This window comes from Homo sapiens, chromosome 22, assembly GCF_000001405.40.
Source record: "Homo sapiens chromosome 22, GRCh38.p14 Primary Assembly".
Lineage (NCBI taxonomy): Eukaryota > Metazoa > Chordata > Mammalia > Primates > Hominidae > Homo > Homo sapiens.
This window is the reverse complement of record NC_000022.11, coordinates 44,296,952-44,316,410: the sequence shown is the minus strand read 5'-3', so window position 1 is coordinate 44,316,410 and position 19,459 is coordinate 44,296,952. Positions and strand designations below refer to the sequence as shown.

At 57.3% G+C, this 19,459-nt stretch overlaps 1 protein-coding gene and 1 long non-coding RNA gene across 3 annotated transcripts in view, besides 1 other annotated feature; one reads left to right on the top strand and one right to left on the bottom strand.

Annotated features, from left to right (window-relative positions):
* SHISAL1 (shisa like 1) overlaps nt 1-19,459 on the top strand; it is an 88,050-nt gene that overhangs the window by 15,304 nt on the left and 53,287 nt on the right. The window contains exons 1-2 of one of the 2 annotated variants that reach the window (NM_001099294.2): nt 3,460-3,660; nt 15,434-15,532. In NM_001099294.2, coding sequence (NP_001092764.1) covers nt 15,466-15,532 — 67 coding nt within the window. In that variant the 5' untranslated portion in view covers nt 3,460-3,660; nt 15,434-15,465. Of the gene's footprint in view, nt 1-3,459; nt 3,661-15,433; nt 15,533-19,459 lie in introns of those variants that run through there. The other variant, XM_005261790.4, reaches the window with a different exon arrangement.
* Nucleotides 1,412-3,400, bottom strand: LOC101927499 (uncharacterized). The gene is made up of 2 exons (XR_244444.3): nt 3,268-3,400; nt 1,412-1,990 (listed from the first exon to the last, which is right to left on the bottom strand). It is a non-coding gene; the product is annotated as an uncharacterized LOC101927499 (long non-coding RNA).
* Nucleotides 16,762-17,294: an enhancer, noted in NCBI's record as "H3K4me1 hESC enhancer chr22:44694997-44695529 (GRCh37/hg19 assembly coordinates)". NCBI's record gives its function as "activates a minimal SCP1, AML or CMV promoter by ChIP-STARR-seq in primed H9 embryonic stem cells {active_cell/tissue: H9 hESC(primed)}" and the evidence as "EXISTENCE:reporter gene assay evidence [ECO:0000049][PMID:30033119]".

Here is a 19,459-nt window from a genome sequence, read left to right as displayed (position 1 = left end):
CCCACCCTGGTTCTGATCCAACAGGTCTGTGCAGCCCTGGTGCAGCCACTTCCGGGGATCTCTCTGTTCATCCTGGCCTACCCTGGGTACCATTCCCATTAGATAGCTGGGGAAACTGAGGCTCAGAGTGGTCACTCACTTGTCCGAGGTCCCAAGCTAGTAAGATCTGGCCGATTCCCACCACATCCTGCATCCTTGACCCAGGTCCCTCTCCCCAGGGTGCACCACGTCCCAACTGGGTTCCCTGGCTTGGTCTGCTCCAAATCTGGATTCCACGTGGGGGCCTGCTATTTGTAACCTTGGGCAAGTCACAGAATGACATGTCCTGTTGCAGGAGCATGATGTGTGGGAGACCAGGTCTGTCACGGGCACTGCAGAGAGCACTTGGCCCCTGGGGGGTTATCATTGCCCTGCTCCACATCGATATGGGCGGTTTACACTGTGCAATGCCTCTCCCCTCCCTGCCCCGGACTGTGAATCCTTTGAGGGCCAGGATGGAGACCCATCCTGCCATTGCGGAATCACCTGAGGCCGGGGAACTGCTGCCTGTGAGCCTATGAAGGAGGCAGCAACTCCCCAGCAGTGGCTCAGGCAGGGCCCTGCGTGTTCTTCATCTCAGTCATCCTCCCCTTGACCTGGAGGGGCCAGGATGGAGGCATGGCACCATCCACAAAGGAAGAAACCAAGCCTCCTCGAGGCAGGTGACCCGCCAGGCAGGTAACAACAGCGTAAGAAGCAGCATTGGGATTCTGTGGCCCAGGTGACATGGGGCCACCAGCTCAGTTCCAAACATGGAAATATAGGAGGATGTTATATGGCCTGGTGTCCTCAGTTTATAGATGGGGAAACTGAGGCACAGAGAGTTTATAACTGGGAGGGTCTCAAAGGGACGAGGTGTATGTGGGCTCAGTAGGAGGAGGCTGGGAATTCACACCGATTCCCTACTGGAATTGGACAGTTCCGGCACCACACCCAGCAGCCTGGGACTGTGAACCGGAAAAAAACGCTCCTTTCTCAGGGACCCCCAGCCAGGCCAAAGCAGCTTCTGCAGTCCCCACCCAGGCCCCTGTGTGGGTCTCAGCTGCCCAGAGGGGTGGGCCTGTGTGCAATGGATGGGGGCTGGGGGGTACTGTAATCATTATTTTTCTTTACATATATTTTGAACCTTGATTTTCTATTCTATTTTCCAGACTCCAGGCCATGGAGTCAGGCCCATGTCTCTGCCTGCTTCCTGGTATTCGCCCTCGGCAGTCCTTGCCAAGACTTCTTTATTTACTTGTTTGTTTGTTAATAATATAAGAAACATCCTTGACCCATCCCTCAGCCTGAGAGCAGGAACGTCAGCCTGTGCGCTCCCAAGCAGGGCCCACTTCACCCCACGTCCCGCTGTATGCCTTGCTATAGCCAGATGCACTCTCAAAAAGAACATTTTATTTACAGTTCTTTTTAGCCTTCTAGAAAGCGTACTGTGCTGAACTTCATCTTTGGAGACTTTACTTTCTCTCTAGCCTCATAGCGCTGAGATGCCCCGTAATGTTCTGTGCGGCTGCAGTGCATTTGGGTAGCTGAAGAGTGTTCCGGTGTTTGGCCATAACACCATGCATTTTCCTATTCATCCACTGGGCCGTCTCCAGGGCTGTCTCCAGGTTTTTCCATAGCGCCGCTGTGAGCTTTCTAGAGCCTGGTCCCCTCGGCCGAGAGGGGATGTTGGTGCTTTTCCTCCCCCACAGTTGCTGAGGCAAAGACCCACTGTGCAAGAGGATGTGGTCACAGTGGCCTCCCTGAGGTGGGGTCACCTTCCCTCCAGGCAGCCCTCACCCCGGTCTGCCAGGCAGGTTGGTCTTTGTTGTGCTTCCAACCTCTGTCAAAGGTGAACTTTTAAAATTCCTGCCTCGTAGGGTGGATCGCAAGGAGTAAATGTCATTGGCGGACCCATACTTTTCTATGTCATAGGTGTTCCAGATCTGGTGCACAGGAGGTCTGCTTTGAACTATAACAAAATCCACAGGGCAGTCCAGGCTCAGAGAGACAGAGAAACATGCCCAGGATCACACAGCTGAGAAGCGGCAAGGGACTTGAACCCGTGTTCAAACCCCAAGCTCAGAGCCCTTTTGTTTCTCTGCTGCTATGCTGAGCCCCAGACAAGAGGCAGGAGGAACTTTGTGTGCCTTGTTCCCTCTGCCAGGAACACTCCCCCACCCCCACCCCCGCCCCACCGCCCGACTCATCCTTCAGGTGTCCACACCAGACCCCCTGGTCTGAGTCCCCAGCCAGGCGACCCAGGACGAGTTACTGAAACTCTGTACCTCAGTTTCCGCATCTGTAAATTGGGGATAATCACAGCCCCTCCTAATCATGAAGATTAAATAAATACCACCCCCACTCCCGGCCCCTACCCCGTCAGGCTGCATCAGGCACTCTGGGCGCCCATAGCCCCCTGGTTTCCCATCGTGGCACCCATCGCTCTGGGCTGCCATTGTTGGGACCGTGGTTAGATGAGGGGCACCCAGACCAGTCTGAACTCGCTCTCTGTCCACCGAAAGGAATGGAAAAAGGAGGTTTATTTCTGGCCTGGCTCAGGATGGGCAGGCTTCCAGGGATGGGTGGGAGGCAGAGGAGGGCTGGCCTCCTTTATGGCTGCGTTTAAATGCCACCCAGAAGCCAGCCAAGGGCGCCGCCAAGGTACCACGATGCACGAAGGCCCAGGGGTGGGAGACGGCCATGGGCTGGGGGGGTGCCTGGCACCCAGGAAGTGTGGCTGCAGAGGCCAGCCAGGCCCCTGGGCTGTGTCCAGACAGTCATGGAAGCCACTGATGTGTTTCGAACAGTGGCAGGTGTGGGCATCCCCCGCCCTGTTCCTGCCCCATCCCCACCCCATTCCTACTGGCAGGGAGGACCCTCTGCTGCTGGGTGGGGACAGGCCAGGGGTAGGGGGGCAACAGCAGGAAGATCAGCCCAGCTTGGAGTCAGGCAGGTGCCACACACCCTCTGTGGGCTCTCGGGTCCCAGCTACCCTTCCTCCCCGGGCTGGTGTGGGGACCGTTTGTTTTACCCACACCCCTCCCCGGGCCATGCTGGCCAGAGGGGCTTGTGCAGTGGTGCCACTGACCTCCATTGCCCAACAGAGACTGAGGGCCACGGGAGGGAACCCACATGTATTGTGCCAAGCATCTGCTGAGGTGCGGACCTGGAGCCCGGTGCCCTGGGTCTAAGCCCCTGCTGCTTCTAGCTGTGGGATCTCACAGGGAGTGTCTCTAGTTTGCTCACCTGTAAAATGGGGCTCTTGCTGGTGCTCTGAGGATGCACAAGGCTGTAAGACCAGAGGCTGGAGTGCGTGGGGACTGCGGGAGCAGCCGCTGCCATCCTGGGCCTGGGAGGTGGCGGCCCTAGGCCCAGGCGGGAGCTGGACTCCTGCAGGGCTGACTCAGCGCCCTAGCCCCACTCCCCGCCCTGAGGAGCACACTGAATTCTTGTCAGCACACAGAGGCCAGCCTGCGCTGGAAAACACTCTTTTGCCTATACAAGGCTCGACCAAGTTGCTCTCCTTTTATTGGGGTTTAAGGTTGGTGGCAACCAGGAGCCGGGGAAGAGGCCAGCAGCTGCAGGGAGACCGCAGCCAGCGGAGGGGGCTTCTGATCCCTCAGTCACAGGGCTCGGCAGGTAAGGAGCAGCCTGTGGAGGTTTCCAGGTCCTCACTGTGCAGGGGCACCTCTGTTCCTTCACGCTGACCCTGGGGTCCCTGCCCTGGCTAAGCACTGGGTCTAAGGGAGAAGCCAGGCAAGGCTGCTAAGTGACTCCTAGTCACAGAAGAATGGGAGGGGCCGGGGTGACGGCTATGCCAGTGGGGCAAGATGGGGAGCAGGCTCTGATCTAGAGGGGTGGGAGCCCTGTGGGGGTGCACAGATGCTGGTGCTACTACCTACCTGCTGTGTGACCTTGAGCAAGTTGCTGACCGTCTCTGTGCCTCAGTGTCCTTGTGTCAAGAGCCTTGCATAGAGAGGGGTTGGAGAGAAGGCCAAAGGCTCGGGGGAGGGTCCGGCATGGCCTAGGGAGTGCTCTCAGGATGCCCTAGTCATGGCCTGGAGGGCATTTGGTTGGCTTCACGGGGGTGAGGTGGGTCTGTTCGACCCACTTCAGAGTCTGCAGTCCCAGTCCAGCATCACACCGGTACGAAATAAGTGAATAGATGAATGAATGAATGAATGAACGAACAAATGAATGCATTGGCCCCTCCGAATACGCCTTCAAGGCAGGTTTGTTGTCCCCATTTACAGATTGGGAAACTGAGGCTTAGGGCTTTGGCTTCTCTTCACTCCAGTGAGGAAGGGGTTCTGGGGACCAGGGAGGCTGAGGGAGCTGAAGAGAAACCCAGAGCCACCCCCACCCCGAGGCGAGCGCCATGCCTGTCTTTCCTCTTCCTGCCCTGACACTTTAAGTGATTCATTCTTCATGTGATATTTTTGTGTTTCTCCAGTGGGAAAAAAATGCCTCTGGGATTTCCAGGGGTTGTTTTATCTCCATGGTGCAACCAAATAACTCAGGAGGACAGAGAGAAACAAAGGGTTGTTGAGCTGAAGAAGGCCCATGATTGTCTCGGCCAAGCTCTCCCTTTAATAGGGGAGGAAACTGAGTCTGGCCTGAGCCCCTCGCCCTGTGACCCAGTGTGGCCCCCTGGAGGACAGTGGGGCATCTAGGGCCTTCAGCAGGGTTGGGGTTTCCAGCTAAGCCCCTTTCAGCTGTGTGTTCTCGCTCAAGTCCCCCTTTCCCCAGGCCTCAGCTTCCTCATCTGTAAAATGGGATCACAGTGGTGCCTACTTCCAACATTCGAGACAGTAGCACATGCAGAGAACTTTGATGGGTGCAGAACTGGCCCAGGCCAGGGGCTCAAAAGGGGGAACCATTGAAACAGCTGAGTTTGTAACTTGGACTCAGAGCCCAGCTGGCTGGGGCATGGTGGATTCAGCAGGGAAAGGTGTCAGTGAGGGACAAGAGCCTTATTAGGGATACACTGGAATGGTTATCCACTGAGGGAGGGATCTGGGGAGATAGGAGAGGTTTCCACGTTGGAGGTCACCTGCGTGCCTTCCCAATTCCAGCACCCAGGCCAGCACCCTTCGTGGCAGTGTGCTTCTCCTCGTGGCCCTGACCCTGAGAGCAGCCCCATGGAGCAAGTGGTATGCCCGCCTGGTAGGGAGACAGTGAGGGCCCAGGGGGTGTGAGCCGGCCCACCTCAGCTCCCCTGGACTTAGGGGGACCTGTCCCACTGGAGCCCTGGAGTTGGGTTTCTAGGCTAAAATAAGGGACTTCCACCCAGGGCTGATGGCCCAAGGTCACTCCCGGTGGTGGCCGTAAAAGTTGAGGCCATGTCTCAGTTGAAGGAGATCTCCTGCCTGGATCTCTGCTGTTCCCATCTGGAAGTTTGCTCTTTGCAATAAAACAAACCAGGCCAACGAGTGCTAATGGAGTTCCTACTCTATGGCCGGCAGACATTTATTCAGCACCTACTGTGTGCAAAGCATGGTGGGGCGATGCAGAGGCACAAAATTTCCCACCCTTGAAGAGCTTGTACTAGGCAGGGAAGCAGTAAACCAACAGGTAAGGCAGAGGGAAATCCGTGCCAACTAAAGGAACAAGCAAAGCACGGAAAGATGAACTGGGGAAATCAGACGTAGACATGGAGTTCAAACACAATTTCATTTGCCAAGGGGCACACAGGACCCTCTCTGGTACCTAAACCATCAGCTTTGGGAACAGTAGAGTAGGCAACATCGGATAAGAACGGTTTATGGATCAGCTGCTAATGTTCTGGGTGCCCTGCTAGCTTCTGGTCCTTTCTATGTTTGGTATACCTGCAAGGTGTGGGGCACGGCTCCCGTTTCACAGATGAGGAAGCTGAAGCCCGTGAAGTAACTTGCCCTAGATCACCCAGCTAGTTAGTGATAAAGCTCTGATCCAAGGCCAAGGAGACTCGCTGCAAAGCCTATGTGGTCGCCCCCAGCACCCTGTCTGGAGTCGAGCAAACCTGGGTTCAGATTGCAAACCTTCCACCCTCCAGCTCTGGGCAATCACTTAGTTTCTCTGAGCTGTGGTTTATTTATCTCAGCAATGGAGATGATCATTGCTTATGTTCATTCAACCAATTAACACATGTTTATAAAGTGCCTACTACGTGTCAGGCCTGTGCTGCCCATAGAGATGAGCAAAAACGAAATGGTCTCAGCAGGGCTGGGTTCGGGGATGTGACCGCTGCAGGGCTAGGCATCAGGTCAGCAGGGCTCAGGTCACATTGGCCGTTACTAGGGTGTGAGGTGCTGGCCCTTCTCACTCACTGTCAGCCGTGGAGCCCGGCACCCCAGCTGCAGGCGAACGGGCTGCTTCTCTGTCCTTCTCCAGCCATACACTCTGGCTGCCTCGGTCCTGGCCAGCACAGCGAGGAAAGATGTCCTAGTTCTCTCCTGCCGCTTCCCCCTGCAAGCATGAAGGGGTCACAAAGACATGCTTTGATCTCACTTCATATGCAGGCGTGGAGCCTCGAGAAGTGTTTATTCCTGGACTTCACGTTTCAGAGTGAGATTTCATAACCTCTAAGTGGATGTCCTGAAAACAAAAGTTCACAAACTCAGGATTAGGTCTGCACTGCCGAGGAAAGGCCCTGGAGACTGGGAAACTTGTGGAGGTTAAACATCCCTGATGATACATATGTGCACACGTGTGTACATGTGTGTGCTGTGTGGAGACAGGCATGCACACAAGTGCTGCCTGCAGGGGTAAACACTCTTATGAGTCGTGGAGACAGGGCACAGGAGCAGACCCCGGGGTTTGAGTCCCCTCTCCGAGCCCCACATTCTCCATCTGTGTAACAGAGAGACTGAGGGTGCAGCATAGGGCTGGGTGGGAAGGGAACGGGTGAGGAATGGGGAGCATTGGGCACCGTGCTCTGCCCTGGGCTCGGGTGATCTGCAGCTGCTAGCCCGTCTCCTCGTCTGTACTTCCTGCCCTTCTGCTGGGCCGCTGCCTACCCGCAGGACTGTTGGTGGGGCTCCAGAGAGCCCTGCCCTGTTGAATTACTAATCCGTGCTAATGCTACCACTGCTAATCATCGTGCCCACATAGAATTACTCATCATTACGTAATCTACTGTCTGTGACCGCCTCCCCCCAGGCTGTAAGCCTTATGGCAGCGGGAATCCCCCACGCCCAGAACTGTTGGTCCACAGTAGAGACTCGTTAGGTGATCCCTGAGTGGCGACCAGGAGAGAAACCGCTCCCTGACCAGTGGGGTCAGGAGGGCTGGTAACTGGGGCTGCTTGTGGATGAGGTGGCACTTGAGCCAGGCCCCATGGGCAGGTTCAGTTTGGACGTACACGGTGGGGAAAGGGATGCCCACGGGCAGGACCAGCTGGGCAAAGGCCCAGACTCCTGAGCTCCGCCACCAGCCGCTTCACACCCAGAATGCTGGGCAAGACTCATCCTCACCCCAAGGTCAGCCTCCCGCCCCCCATGACAGTAGAGTAGGTGGGATGTGTTTGGGGAACAGGCCACTTGTCCTTTGTTCTCCATCCTGTGGGGTTCAGGCCCGAGCGTGGCCCCTGTCTAAGGAGGGCCAACCCTGGGGCAGAGGTCATGGTTCTGCCACCCTCGGCAGCCCATGCTCTGTTCTCCCAGCTCACTCTCAAGTTAGGACACAAACCAGGCACGCTGCACAGAGTGCTCCTGCCCATGCTGGCCCCAGATGAACCCCACCCAGCCCCTGCCCTAGCATGGCCTCCAGACAGCCCGAGATCACCCTGGGGACGGGGGAAGTCAGAGTGTCAGAAGCTCGCCTGGGGAGTGAGAGAATCACGGGGGAAGAACTGCCCTGAGAGGTGGCCACCCAGGATGAGCCTCCAGGCTACGGCTTTGGAGAGGGGAAGGGTGGTCCTAGCACAGGGGAACAGCATGAGTAAAGGCCCAGAGGCACCACAGACCCAGAGGGCTGAAGCTCCAGGAACAGGGAGGGCAAGATGGCCACAGTGCCAGGCCACAAGGGGCCTCAGGTGCGAGCGCAGCCTTGAACCCAAGGGGGCAGGTAGGTGATTAGGTGGGTACTTGGGAAAGCTGGCTCTGGGGGCCGCCTAGGGCTTGGGTTGATGGAAGAGGCAGAGTCAGAGACAGCAGCAGCAAGAAGCACGTGGCCAGGCCTGTCCAAGGCTTCCATGCCTCACTTCCTTTAGTTGGTGAATTAGATGCCGATGTTGGTCCCCATTCTAGGGCTGAGGACACTGAGGCTCAGGTGTCACCCCAGGTCACATGGGATGTGGTTACAGAAGGTGGAGCCAGGACTTGGTCCCAGGCAGAGGGCTCGACCCCCAAGCCCTGCTGCCCTAGACCCAGTCCTGCAGTGGACTGGAGGTGTCGCGCTTGGTCGTGCCCAGAAGTGGGGCGTGGTGGGCTGAGGAGGGGCTGGCTGGAAGCCCCCAGTGCTGTAGGGGGTCTCCAGGCATCAGGCCAGCATCCAGGCCTGTGGGAGCCTGAGGCCTCAGCCCCTCCCCGCAGGCCATCCTGCATCCTGCCCTGCCGAACCTGGCTGACACAAAAACAGATCCGTTGCTGTTCCTGGTGGGGTTTAATTCATCTTCCCAGCTCTGTTTCTCTTCACGTGCCCTCCTTCCTCTCCTTCCCCAGCCTCGCCAAGTTCGGTGTTTAAAAATAACCTTCAAATCTCGGAGCAGCAGTCCCAGGCTGACCGGAGGGGTGGCCCGCAGAGATGCATGCCTGACTCGTGATTCTGGCCATGGTCAAACAACGAGCGTTCAGGAACGTCCCACTCAGCCAGAATGTTCTTCCAGTTGTTTGAGTTTTGTTGTTGGCCACGGACTACCATCTTAGGAAGTTTACCAATTTTCAGAGAAATAGAACCCGGGAGGATAAATTTAATCTGTCTCTGGTAAATGTGCTTTCTGGGGGTCCTCAGGAGGCCTCAGAAGCTTTTTCAGTGCCAGGAGGTAGAGTGAGCTTTGCTGCTGAGTGGCTGTGTGACCTTGGGCAAGTCACTTCACCTCTCTGAGTCTCAGCTTCCCCCTTCTGAGATGGGAGCTTGGTGATCCACCTCCTTAGGCTGACATGGGGGTCACCTGAGACAGTGCAGTGAATACCAGGGTTCAGCCTGGTGCACCAAGAACTCTGCGAGTGTGAGCCAGCCTGGGTCAGCAGCCCCAGGTGGCAGAGTGAGCCAGCCTCGGTCAGCAGCCCCAGGTGGCAGGCAGCACAAGGCCCACAGGAGGATGGAGGACGGCGGACGCCCTTCCAGGCCTGTTCTTGGGCTGCCGGAGTGGTGTCCCACAGACCTCATTTGTGGGGCCCCTCAGGGGATGTTGTCCAGTGGTGTAACACGCCATCATTATCAGAGCTCCCAGATCCCAGGTCCCCTCCACACACGCCATCGTCATCACAGCTTCCTAAGCCCAGGTCCCCTCCACACACGCCATCGTCATCAGAGCTCCCCGAGCACAGGTCCCTTCCACACACGCCATCATCATCACACCTCCCCGAGCCCAGGTCCCCTCTGCACACGCCATCGTCATCACAGCTCCCCGAGCCCAGGTCCCCTCCACACACGCCGTCGTCATCACAATTCCCCGAGCCCAGGTCCCCTCCGCACACGCCATCGTCATCACAGCTCCCCGAGCCCAGGTCCCCTCCACACGCCATCGTCATCAGAGCTCCCTGAGCCCAGGTCCCTTCCACACACACCATCGTCATCACAGCTCCCCGAGCCCAGGTCCCCTCCACACACGCCATCGTCATCACAGCTCCTTGAGCCCAGTTCCCCTCCACACATGCCATCGTCATCACAGCTCCCCGAGCTCAGTTCCCCTCCACACATGCCATCGTCATCAGAGCTCCCCGAGCCCAGGTACCCTCTACACATGCCATCGTCATCACAGCTCCCTGAGCCCAGGTCTCCTCCACACACACCATCATCATCACAGCCCCCTGAGCCCAGGTCCCCTCTGCACACGCCATCGTCATCACAGCTCCCCGAGCTCAGTTCCCCTCCGCACACGCCATCGTCATCACAGCTCCCCGAGCCCAGGTACCCTCCACACATGCCATCGTCATCACAGCTCCCTGAGCCCAGGTCCCCTCCACACACGCCATCGTCGTCAGAGCTCCTTGAGCTCAGTTCCCCCTCTGCACATCCCACGGAGGGACCCAAGGTGATGACTTTGGCCTTGTGAACATCAGTGCTATTGAACTCATGGCCCTGAGGCTGGCCGCCTCATGGAAGCCTGACTGGGATCACAGCAGCTGGCTGGTCCCCAAGGCCTGGGGAGGTTTCCAAAGTAGCTTTCTGACCTAGCTTGGAATGGGGAGGTTGGCTTCTAAGCTTTGCTGTCTCAGATCATTAGAAATGGAATTTTTACTTAGGTAACTTCTCGTGACGCACGGCGGGTTATTCTTTCTACTGAGGATTCAGCTTTCAGCTCTGGCCCTGAGCTGCCTTGGGGGCGTGGGGAGTAAGGGCAGCCCCTACCTCCTCATGCAGAATCCCCCAGACCCCTTCATCCAGAGTTCCCCACACGCCCCTGGGGCTTTTGTCCAGCATACAGGGCTGCGGCTTTGATCGCACGGTGACCTATCTCAGGCCAGACTCGGGGGGTTGGGGGCACAGCCAGGCCATGGATGCCAAACAGACCCCCAAGGAAAGCCCAGGCTGGACGTGGGACCAGCGCAACCACAGCGTGCTGTGGCAGGGACACCTGCAGTGTGCAAATCCACATGACCACGGGGTGTGCCTGAGGGCCCAAGGCTGGTGTCCCGCAGGGCTGGGATTCCCACCCAGTCCCTGGAACTCCTAAGCCCCAGCCCCCGCCTTCAGGCTGCACACTGTCCTTTCCTAGAACCACGTTGTCTCACAACAAATCTCTGCAGTGTGCGTTCATCTCTGGAACTGTCCCCCAGAGGCATAAAGGCCTCTCCAGCTCTGGACCCTGGGTCTGCGAAGGCAGATCGGGGGCTGAGGGCCAGCCCTGGCCAGGACCCTCATGGCCTAGTAGAAGAGGTCCTGGGAAGAATCGCATAACGGGAGGCTGCTGGGCACCCTTGCCTGTGCTCCCTGAGGGCAGGGACTCACCTCTTCTGTGTTCCTAGAGCCCAGCCCAGGGCCTGGCCCCGAGTGCAGGTCAGCAAGTGGGTGTTGAGAGAATAAGTGAATGGATAAATGAATTAACACATGAATGAAAGAAGAGATGGAATACTATAGGCCTCAGTGGAGGGGCAAACTTTTTCCAGCTGATAAAATCATGGCAGGCTTCCTGGAGGAGGTAGTACTGAAGCAGCTTCTAAAGTGATGCAGGATTTGGACTCCTAGGGGTGAAGGAAGAGTACCCCCCAGGGGTGAACATCAGCCCCGCAACATCAGCCAGTACACTCAGGGCTTTGTAGGGAGTTGGAGCACCAGGAGCAGGGGCCAGGCCTGTGGCTAAGGTAGATCCTCCTCATTCACTCAACAAACCTACCAGCTCTTGGACCTGAGCCCCAGCCACAGAAGTGGGGCAGCCCCACCCTACGGGGGCCAGAGGAGCTGGAGTCTGGGGACCTGTTTCAACTCTTATTGGGCCTCAGCTTCCCCATCTGTAGAATGGAGCACGGGGGAGGCATCTCAGGGGTCCCGTCACTCTCCACTCCCACAGCGCATTTTCCAGGGCTGATCCATAGGACTCCCCCGGAGAAATCCATTCCTGAGCACTCCCAGATGCTTGACCTCGGCTTATCCTCCCAGGAGGGCCAGAAGGAGGCTGGGAGGAGGCCCAGGCTCAGAGCAATTAAGCAGCTTACAGCTCCCAGGGACGAGCAGGGCAGTGGTGGGAGCAGAGAGGCCTGCGGGTGGATGGGGGCAGCCCCTCCCCAGAGGAAGAGATGAGTAAGCTTAGTGTTAGAGGCCTGCGTTTCAGTGGCATTTTACAATCCTGATAGTCCCTTCCCTTGTTCTGGCAAACCAGACTTCACAAGGTCAGCACCTGACGTCCCAGCTCCCGCCACGATGCCCATGCTACAGGGGAGGAGACCAAGGCTGCAGAAGCAGGGCCTAGGCCAGGGCCAGGCCATGAGCACTGTGCGTTTGGCCTTGAGTTTTGCCCCATCTCGCTCCGAAGTCTCCAACCTCTGGGTGGCCCGAGTGGCTTTCCTTTCTGCCTGCCCAGAGCCCTAACTCTGCCCCCAGTAAAGCAGCATTCAGAGCTGCCCTGGGACCCAGGTTGGTGTCCCCTCTGCTCTCCCTGACCAGGCTGTGAGCTCTGGAGGGCAAGGCAGCTGCTGGGTGGCTCCCAGGGCCCAGAGCAGGTGCCAGGACAGTCTGGGCATGCAGAGGGGCTTGTTTCTTTGGACTGCCCATCATCTTCCACCATCTCTTCTTTCAGAAACGTGTGGTCTGGCAGCAGATCCCTGCACTGCATGTTCAACTCTGAAACCGTCCTCCTGGGGGGCGGAGGGCCTCACCTGGCGTGGACAGGATGGAGCGGGCAGGGAGTCTGCTCTGCAGATGGTGGAGGTGGGGCTGGGGGATGGGAGGGTGGTTCAGCCAGGCCAGGAGGTCCTCAGGGTCTCCCACCCGGGTGGGATTCGGGGCTCTCCAGGCCCCACCATCCTCACATCAGACCCTGCCCCCAAGTATGCAGGTGAGCTTCCTCGTGTGGACCCAACCCAGCCCTTCCACGGACCAGGCTCCACATGAGAGGCTGTACCTGTTTGCTCGGGCTGCCTAGCAAAGCTCCTCAAACCAAGAGGTTTCAACAAGAGGAATTTACTGTCTCAGCCTGGAGGCTGGAAGTCCAAGTCAGGGTGTCAGCAGGGTTGGGTCCTTATGAGGCTGTAGGGGTGAATCTGTTCCTGGGGGTTCGCTGGCAATCTTTGGCATTCCTTGGCTTATATGTGCATCACCCCAACCTCTGCCTCCATCTTCCCATAGTGTTTTCCCTGCACAGGTGTTTCTGTGTCCAAATTGTCCCTTTTTATAAAAAACACCAGTCTTCTTGGATTAGGGAGCCACCCTACTTCACCCTGATGACCTCATCTTAACTAATGACCTCCGTGATGACCCTATTTCCAAACAGCGTCAACCTTCTGAGTCCTGGGAGTTAGGACTTCAACATGTGAATTTGGGGGGAACACAATTCACATACCATAACAGGGTGCCACCAGGGAGAGGATGGGGTACAGTACCTCTTCTGGCCCAGAGCCGGGCACATAGTAGATGCTCAGCAAATCAACTCCCATCTCTCATCTCTACTGCTCCCACCAGATACACGCAGGCAACAGGGGCTCTGGGAGGACGACGCTGTTACACAGAGCACTTAGATGGCCTGTCCTAGCCTCCGTTTCCAACTCCTATGGGAGACAGGTTGATCATAGTCTAAGTAATCTAGTCCCCTCAGGGCCCAAAGCCCTGTCTCTAGTGGCCCTGCTGATACCCCAACCCCAGGGTCTTTGCCCCTGCTGCCTCCTCACTGCACCCACCCCAGGGCCTTTGCCCCTGCTGCCTCCTCACCGCACCCACCCCAGGGCCTTTGCCCCTGCTGCCTCCTCACCGCACCCACCCCAGGGCCTTTGCCCCTGCTGCCTCCTCACCGCACCCACCCCAGGGCCTTTGCCCCTGCTGCCTCCTCACCGCACCCACCCCAGGGCCTTTGCCCCTGCTGCCTCCTCACCGCACCCACCCCAGGGCCTTTGCCCCTGCTGCCTCCTCACCGCACCCACCCCAGGGCCTTTGCCCCTGCTGCCTCCTCACCGCACCCACCCCAGGGCCTTTGCCCCTGCTATCCCTCCGTGTGCAGCACTCTTCTTCCAGACAGCCACGTGGCCTCTCCCGCCTCACTCAAAGGTCTGCTCAAATGTCACCTTCTCAGAGAGGCCCTCCTTACCACCCTTCTAAAGCAGCTCCCCCATCACCATTCTCGGCACCACTCCCCAGACACGCCTTGTTTTATTTTCCCTCGTAACATTAAAAATTTTTTTTTATTGTGGCAAAATATACATTACAGAGAACTTACTACTTTAACTCCTCCCCGCTCCTTTTTTTTTTTTTTTTTTTTGAGACGGAGTCTCGCTCTGTCGCCCAGGCTGGAGTGCAATGGCGTGATCTCAGCTCACTGCAGCCTCCACCTCCCAGGTTCAAGCTGTTCTCCCGCCTTGGCCTCCCAAGTAGCTGGGACTACAGACATGCACCACCATGCCCGGCTAATTTTGTATTTTTCGTAGAGACAGCGTTTGTCCAGGTTGGTCAGGCTGGTCTCGAACTCCTGACCTCAGGTGATCCGCCAGCCTCGGCCTCCCAAAGTGCTGGGATTACAACGCCTGGGTGGTGTGGGCCACTGTACTTTAACCCTTTTTAAGTGGACAGTCAGTGGCATTGAGTAAATTCAGTGTTGTGCGACCCTCCCCACCATGCACCTCCAGAACTTTTTCATCTTCCCAAACTGCAACTCTGCACCCATGAAACATTCACTCCCCATCCCCCTCCCCCAAGCCCCTGGCATCTTCCATTCTGCTTTTGACCCGATGACAAATCTTCTGTGAATGGGACTCCTCTAGGGACCCCATGTAGGTGGAATCTTGCAGTCTGTGTTCTTTTGTGCCTTGCCTAGTTCATAGGCATAATTCCCTCTGGGATCCCCCTGCTGTAGCATGTATCATAGTTTCCCTCCTGTTTTGGGAGAGTAATGTGCATTGTGTGACGGGCCACCTTTTGTTGATCCATCCATCCCTCGATGGGCACATGGGTTGCCTCTACCTTTTGACTAAGGTGAAGGATGCTGCTGGGAACATGGGTGTGTGTACGTATCTGTTCGAGTCCCTGTTTTCTGCGCCTTGGGATATGTACTCAGAAGCTCGGAGCATTTTAAACATTCATTTGTTTGCGTGTTGTCAGCCTTCCTGAGTAGAACACAGGGGCTCCAGGGAGGAACTGCTTCTATTTCATGCACTGCTGTGTGCCTTGTGCCTCGGAAGCTGCCTGGCTCCGTGCATACTTGTGGAGGGGTTCATGGAAGTCACCATGAAACCCTCCACCTTAGCGACACAGCAGGGGACCTGGGTCCTGTAAGCTCCTCGAGGTGGCCGGGCCAGCCCGGGCATCCTCACTCCTGCAGCTCTGGTGCCTGGCCACCAGCCTCTGCCGGCCGGTCATTTCCACCACCTGAGCCATCCGTCCTCCTTTGATTAAGTCTCATTTTGCCATGAAAAGAAAAGGAGGTGACAGTTGGCTTGTGGGGGAAGGTCATTCATTCCAGAAAGGAAATTGGATGGCGGCATCTCCATCGTCCGCACCCGGCCCCTGCTCCCGACAAACTCGCTCTCCTGCCCGCTGCCCGCCTGCCCGTCCCCCGCTGTGGGCAGGAAAGCCAGTGTCAGGCGAGACAGCCCACACCCAGCCTCTCGTGGCTCTCATTGAACAGGCAGCTCTGGACGGATCAATGCAAGCCAGACGATGACCAGTTGTGGCCAGCAGTCCTTGAACGTGCTCGCCGTCCTCTTCTCATTGCTGTTTTCTGCAGGTAAAACCTCCGTGGATGCTGGGGGCGGGGGCGGCACGTGGGGGTGTGGGCTCTTCCTGAGATTCGTGCTGGCCCATCTGGGGTTCTGGGGGCACACAGAGGCTTGCCTTTTGTCCTCCACCTTACTGGCACCCCTCTGGTGAGCAGCTGATGTTGGTTGCTGTGTGGTTGGTCTCTGTCTGTCTCTGTCTCTCTGTCTCTATCTCTACTGTGCACCGCAGCCCTGGGACTTCCCATGGGAGCTCAGCTGGCTGCCAGGACCCTCGGGAGAAGCCCTGACTCACATTCTCTCCTTTGCCCCTGCGAGACAAGGTTAGGCAGTGTCCTAGTCATCCCATTTTATAGATGAGGAAACTGAGGCTTGGAGAGGGACCTGACTTGCCTAGGACAAGGCAGTTAGCGGATTCTAGCCCGACCAGCCTCCTGGGCTGTCCCTGGGATCCCAGTTGAGGTCGCAGGTGGGCTCCTGCTCTCCCAGTTACAAGGATGAGCACAAACTAAGTCCTCTGCTCCTCCCAGCTAGAGCTGAGAGCCCAAGTTCAAGGGCAGCCCTGCTCCCCAGCCAGGGCCTGCTCCCAGCAAGGAGCCCCCTCTGGCTCTCTGGCTTCCTCTCCCTCTGTCTTTCTGTGTCTCTGGGTCTCTGTCTCTCTGTCTTTCTGTCTGTCTCTGTCTCTCTCTGTGTGTCTGTGTCTGTCTCTGTATCTCTATCTCTCTCTGTCTCTGTCTCTCTCTGTTTCTGTCTCTCTGTCTCTCTGTCTCTGTCTCTCTGTCTGTCTCTCTGTGTCTGTCTCTGTCTGTCTTTCTGTGTCTCTGTGTCTGTCTCTGTCTCTCTGTCTCTTTCTGTGTCTCTGTGTCTGTCTCTGTCTCTCTGTTTCTGTCCTCTGCCTCTTTGTCTTTGTCTCTGTCTATGTCTCTGTGTCTGTCTCTGTCTGTCTCTCTGTGTCTCTGTGTCTGTCTCTGTTTCTGTCTCTGTCTCTGTCTCTCTGTCTCTGTCTTTCTGTGTCTCTGTGTCTGTCTCTGTCTCTCTGTCTCTGTCTATCTCTCTGTGTCTCTGTCTCTGTCTATGTCTGCCTCTGTCTTTTTCTATCTCTGTCTTTGTGTTTCTGTCTCTGTCTCTGTCTTTCTCTGACTCTGTCTTTCTGTCTCTGTCTCCATCTCTCTGTCTCTGTCTCTGTGTCTCTCTGTACCTCCTCATGCCCGCATGCTCTAACAGGGTCACTGACACTGGCCTGGTGGTTTTCAGCCCCTGCCCCTTTGCTGGGGGCAGCTCAGAGGGAGGCTATGAGGATGTCTGGGGGTGCTTGGCAGGGCTCCCCGGACAGCAAAGCCAAAGCCACGCCCAGGCCAGGGGTCTGGGGGCTACCCAGCTGCTCTCCCCACCCCAGATGCTTCCCATGCTTTGGCTCACCTGGTCCTCACCATCCCTGGAGGACGGACCCACTCAGCCCATTTTACAAATGAGGAAGGTGAGACACTCAGAAGGAAAGCGGCCTGCCCGAGGTCACCCCTTCAGGGGAGGGGCCAGCCAGTGAATCAGGGCCATCCAGATGCAGGAGTTACGTGGAGCTGTGCACACAGGGGTGCGTTCATGGTTGAGGCTTCGGGGCCCGAAATGCGGCTCTCTCCTTTGCGTCCCTGCTCTGCTGGGGCCTCCTAACAGAGTGTCCCTCGGCCTGGAGTCACGCCATGCCCCAGAGCAGAAGCCCACGGATGCTGCCCTTTACTGCCCTTTACAGCCTCTAGTGCTCGTAGGGCCCCTAGTGCACACACAGCCTCTTTCTCTAGGTGGGGGCTGCGCCTTGCTGTTTACAAAACGCTCCTGGGAGCCCCCAGCCCGCCTTGGAGACCATGAGTCTTTCATCAGTGAGGGGAGGAGGCCAGAGAGGTCACGATGGCCCAGGCAGCCTCATGCCAGGACTCCCACCCGGTTGTCCCGGCTCCCAGCCCAGGGCTCTGTTGGCTCCGGGAAGGCAGCCGGGGAGGCTTCATCGTTACCAAATGGCCAAAGCCCATGGCGCTGACCGCCCAGTGGTGGCCGGGTGAGCTGGGTGCTGGTAATGGGCAGGACCCTTCCACATCCCCCAACCTCGCCGGGCCTGCCCTCCCCGGCCCCCCATCTCTGCATATCAGGCTCCTCCCAGTCCCTTGAGGCCCAGCTCAAAGGCTGCCTCCCCATGCTGCCCTACCGCTCTGTCCCTTCCCTCCCTGAGTCCTGTGGTAGCCTCACGGGCTGGTCCCAGGGCCTAAGCTAGACTTTCTGCCCAGCAGCGTGAGTGTGCCTGGTTCCTCCCCAGCTGCCCACGCACTGAGCGTGAGCAGGGCCTCCTCACTGACCTGGGCAGTGACCCAGACAGTGACCGGAACTGGCTAGCTGCCTCTGCCCCTTGCCGCTAGGCCAGTGGGCCCCAAACCCAAGCCCATCAGCATCCCCTGGAGGGCTTGCCAGGACAGACGGCGGGGCCTACCCCGGAGCTTCTGATTCAGAAGCCCAGTGGCCTGAGAATCTGCATTTCTGACAAGCCCTCCGGGGATGCCCTCGAGGCCGATCAGGGGCCACACTTTGGGAACTGCTGCTCTGAGCCACAGTTTTCTCCCCTGTACGATGGGAATAAATGAGATGGGGTGAGACAGCTGTCTACTTGGGGCTCTCTAATAACCTCTACATCCCCAGAGGGGGTATTCTTCTTTCTTAAGGTTGAGGAAGAGAAGGGGGCCTGGAGAGCTCCCCTGGTTCCCCAAAAGCTGAGACCTTTCTCTCGCAGTGGTCATGCCCATCCCCACAGAAGAGGGTGCTGTCTGTGGGGGAAGGGGTGTGGAATTTCATGCCCCCCGCCGGAGGCAGCCTCAGCACCCCAGCACATGAAGGCCGCCTGCCCATCTTCCAGCCCAGCCCAGCCCAGCTGGGACTCCCCTGCAGCAGCCCCGGGTGGGTAGGTGGGGAGCTGTGTGGGCTGCAGTCTAATAACCTCTCAGCAGACACAGAGCTTTCAACGAGCTGGAGGAACTCCTGCAAAGCCACTGCCTTTGTGGTTAAAGGAATGTATTCAGCCAGCGAAGCCCCTTTTCAGTGATACAAATTAGATACAGCGATCTCTTTTATGAAGATACTAATTAAGCCTGAGAGAGCGGGCTTTAGGTTTTTTCCATTGTTATATTTGTTCAGACTTTCAGTCCTGTTTATCACCATCGGCACGACTCGTAAATACCATCCTGGGTTTGCAGTAGCATTGGTGGCTGAATAGGGGCCTCCGCCCCTGAGCAGAGTGGTGGGAGGGTTCCAGGCCAAGGCAGAGCTACCACCGTGAGGTGGGGGTGACTGAGGCAGGCCCTTGGGGACCTTGGGGCCTAGGGTACTAGTTTAGTAGAAACCAAGGAACGAAGGGTCTGCTGTTTTTGACCCAAGAGGTACCCAAGAGGTCCTTGCACCTATGCCAGCCACCACCCGGGCCAGCCTGGGCTGAGCAGCAGGTCCACCACTGCCCACCTGGGAACAAAGAGCTAGTGATACAAGACTGGAGAGGGCCCCAAACTTTGAATCCAGGCCTGAGTTCCATTCCTGTCCCTCCAACACTTATCAGCTCGGGCAAGTCACCTTAGGTCTCTGAGCCTCAGTTTCTCCATCTGTAAAGTGGGATCTCAGACTTGCTTGGCTGTGTGAGTTAAATGAGATGGGTCTGTGAAGCATACAGTAGGTGCTCAGTTAAGGCTGATTTCCTAATTGAGTGACTGCTGCATGTCAAGCATGTTCACCGAAGCAGGAGAGCCAGCCCTGCCCTCCAGGACCAGCCAGTCTGGGTGACACAGAGAATGTAACCAGGGCTGGGAGGCTCGGGGTAATGGGAACCCAGAGGTGAGGCTCACAGTGGACCACAAAGGCATCCAGGGGAGGGAAGAAGCAGGCAGGACCTGAGAAGAGGCCGGCCAGTC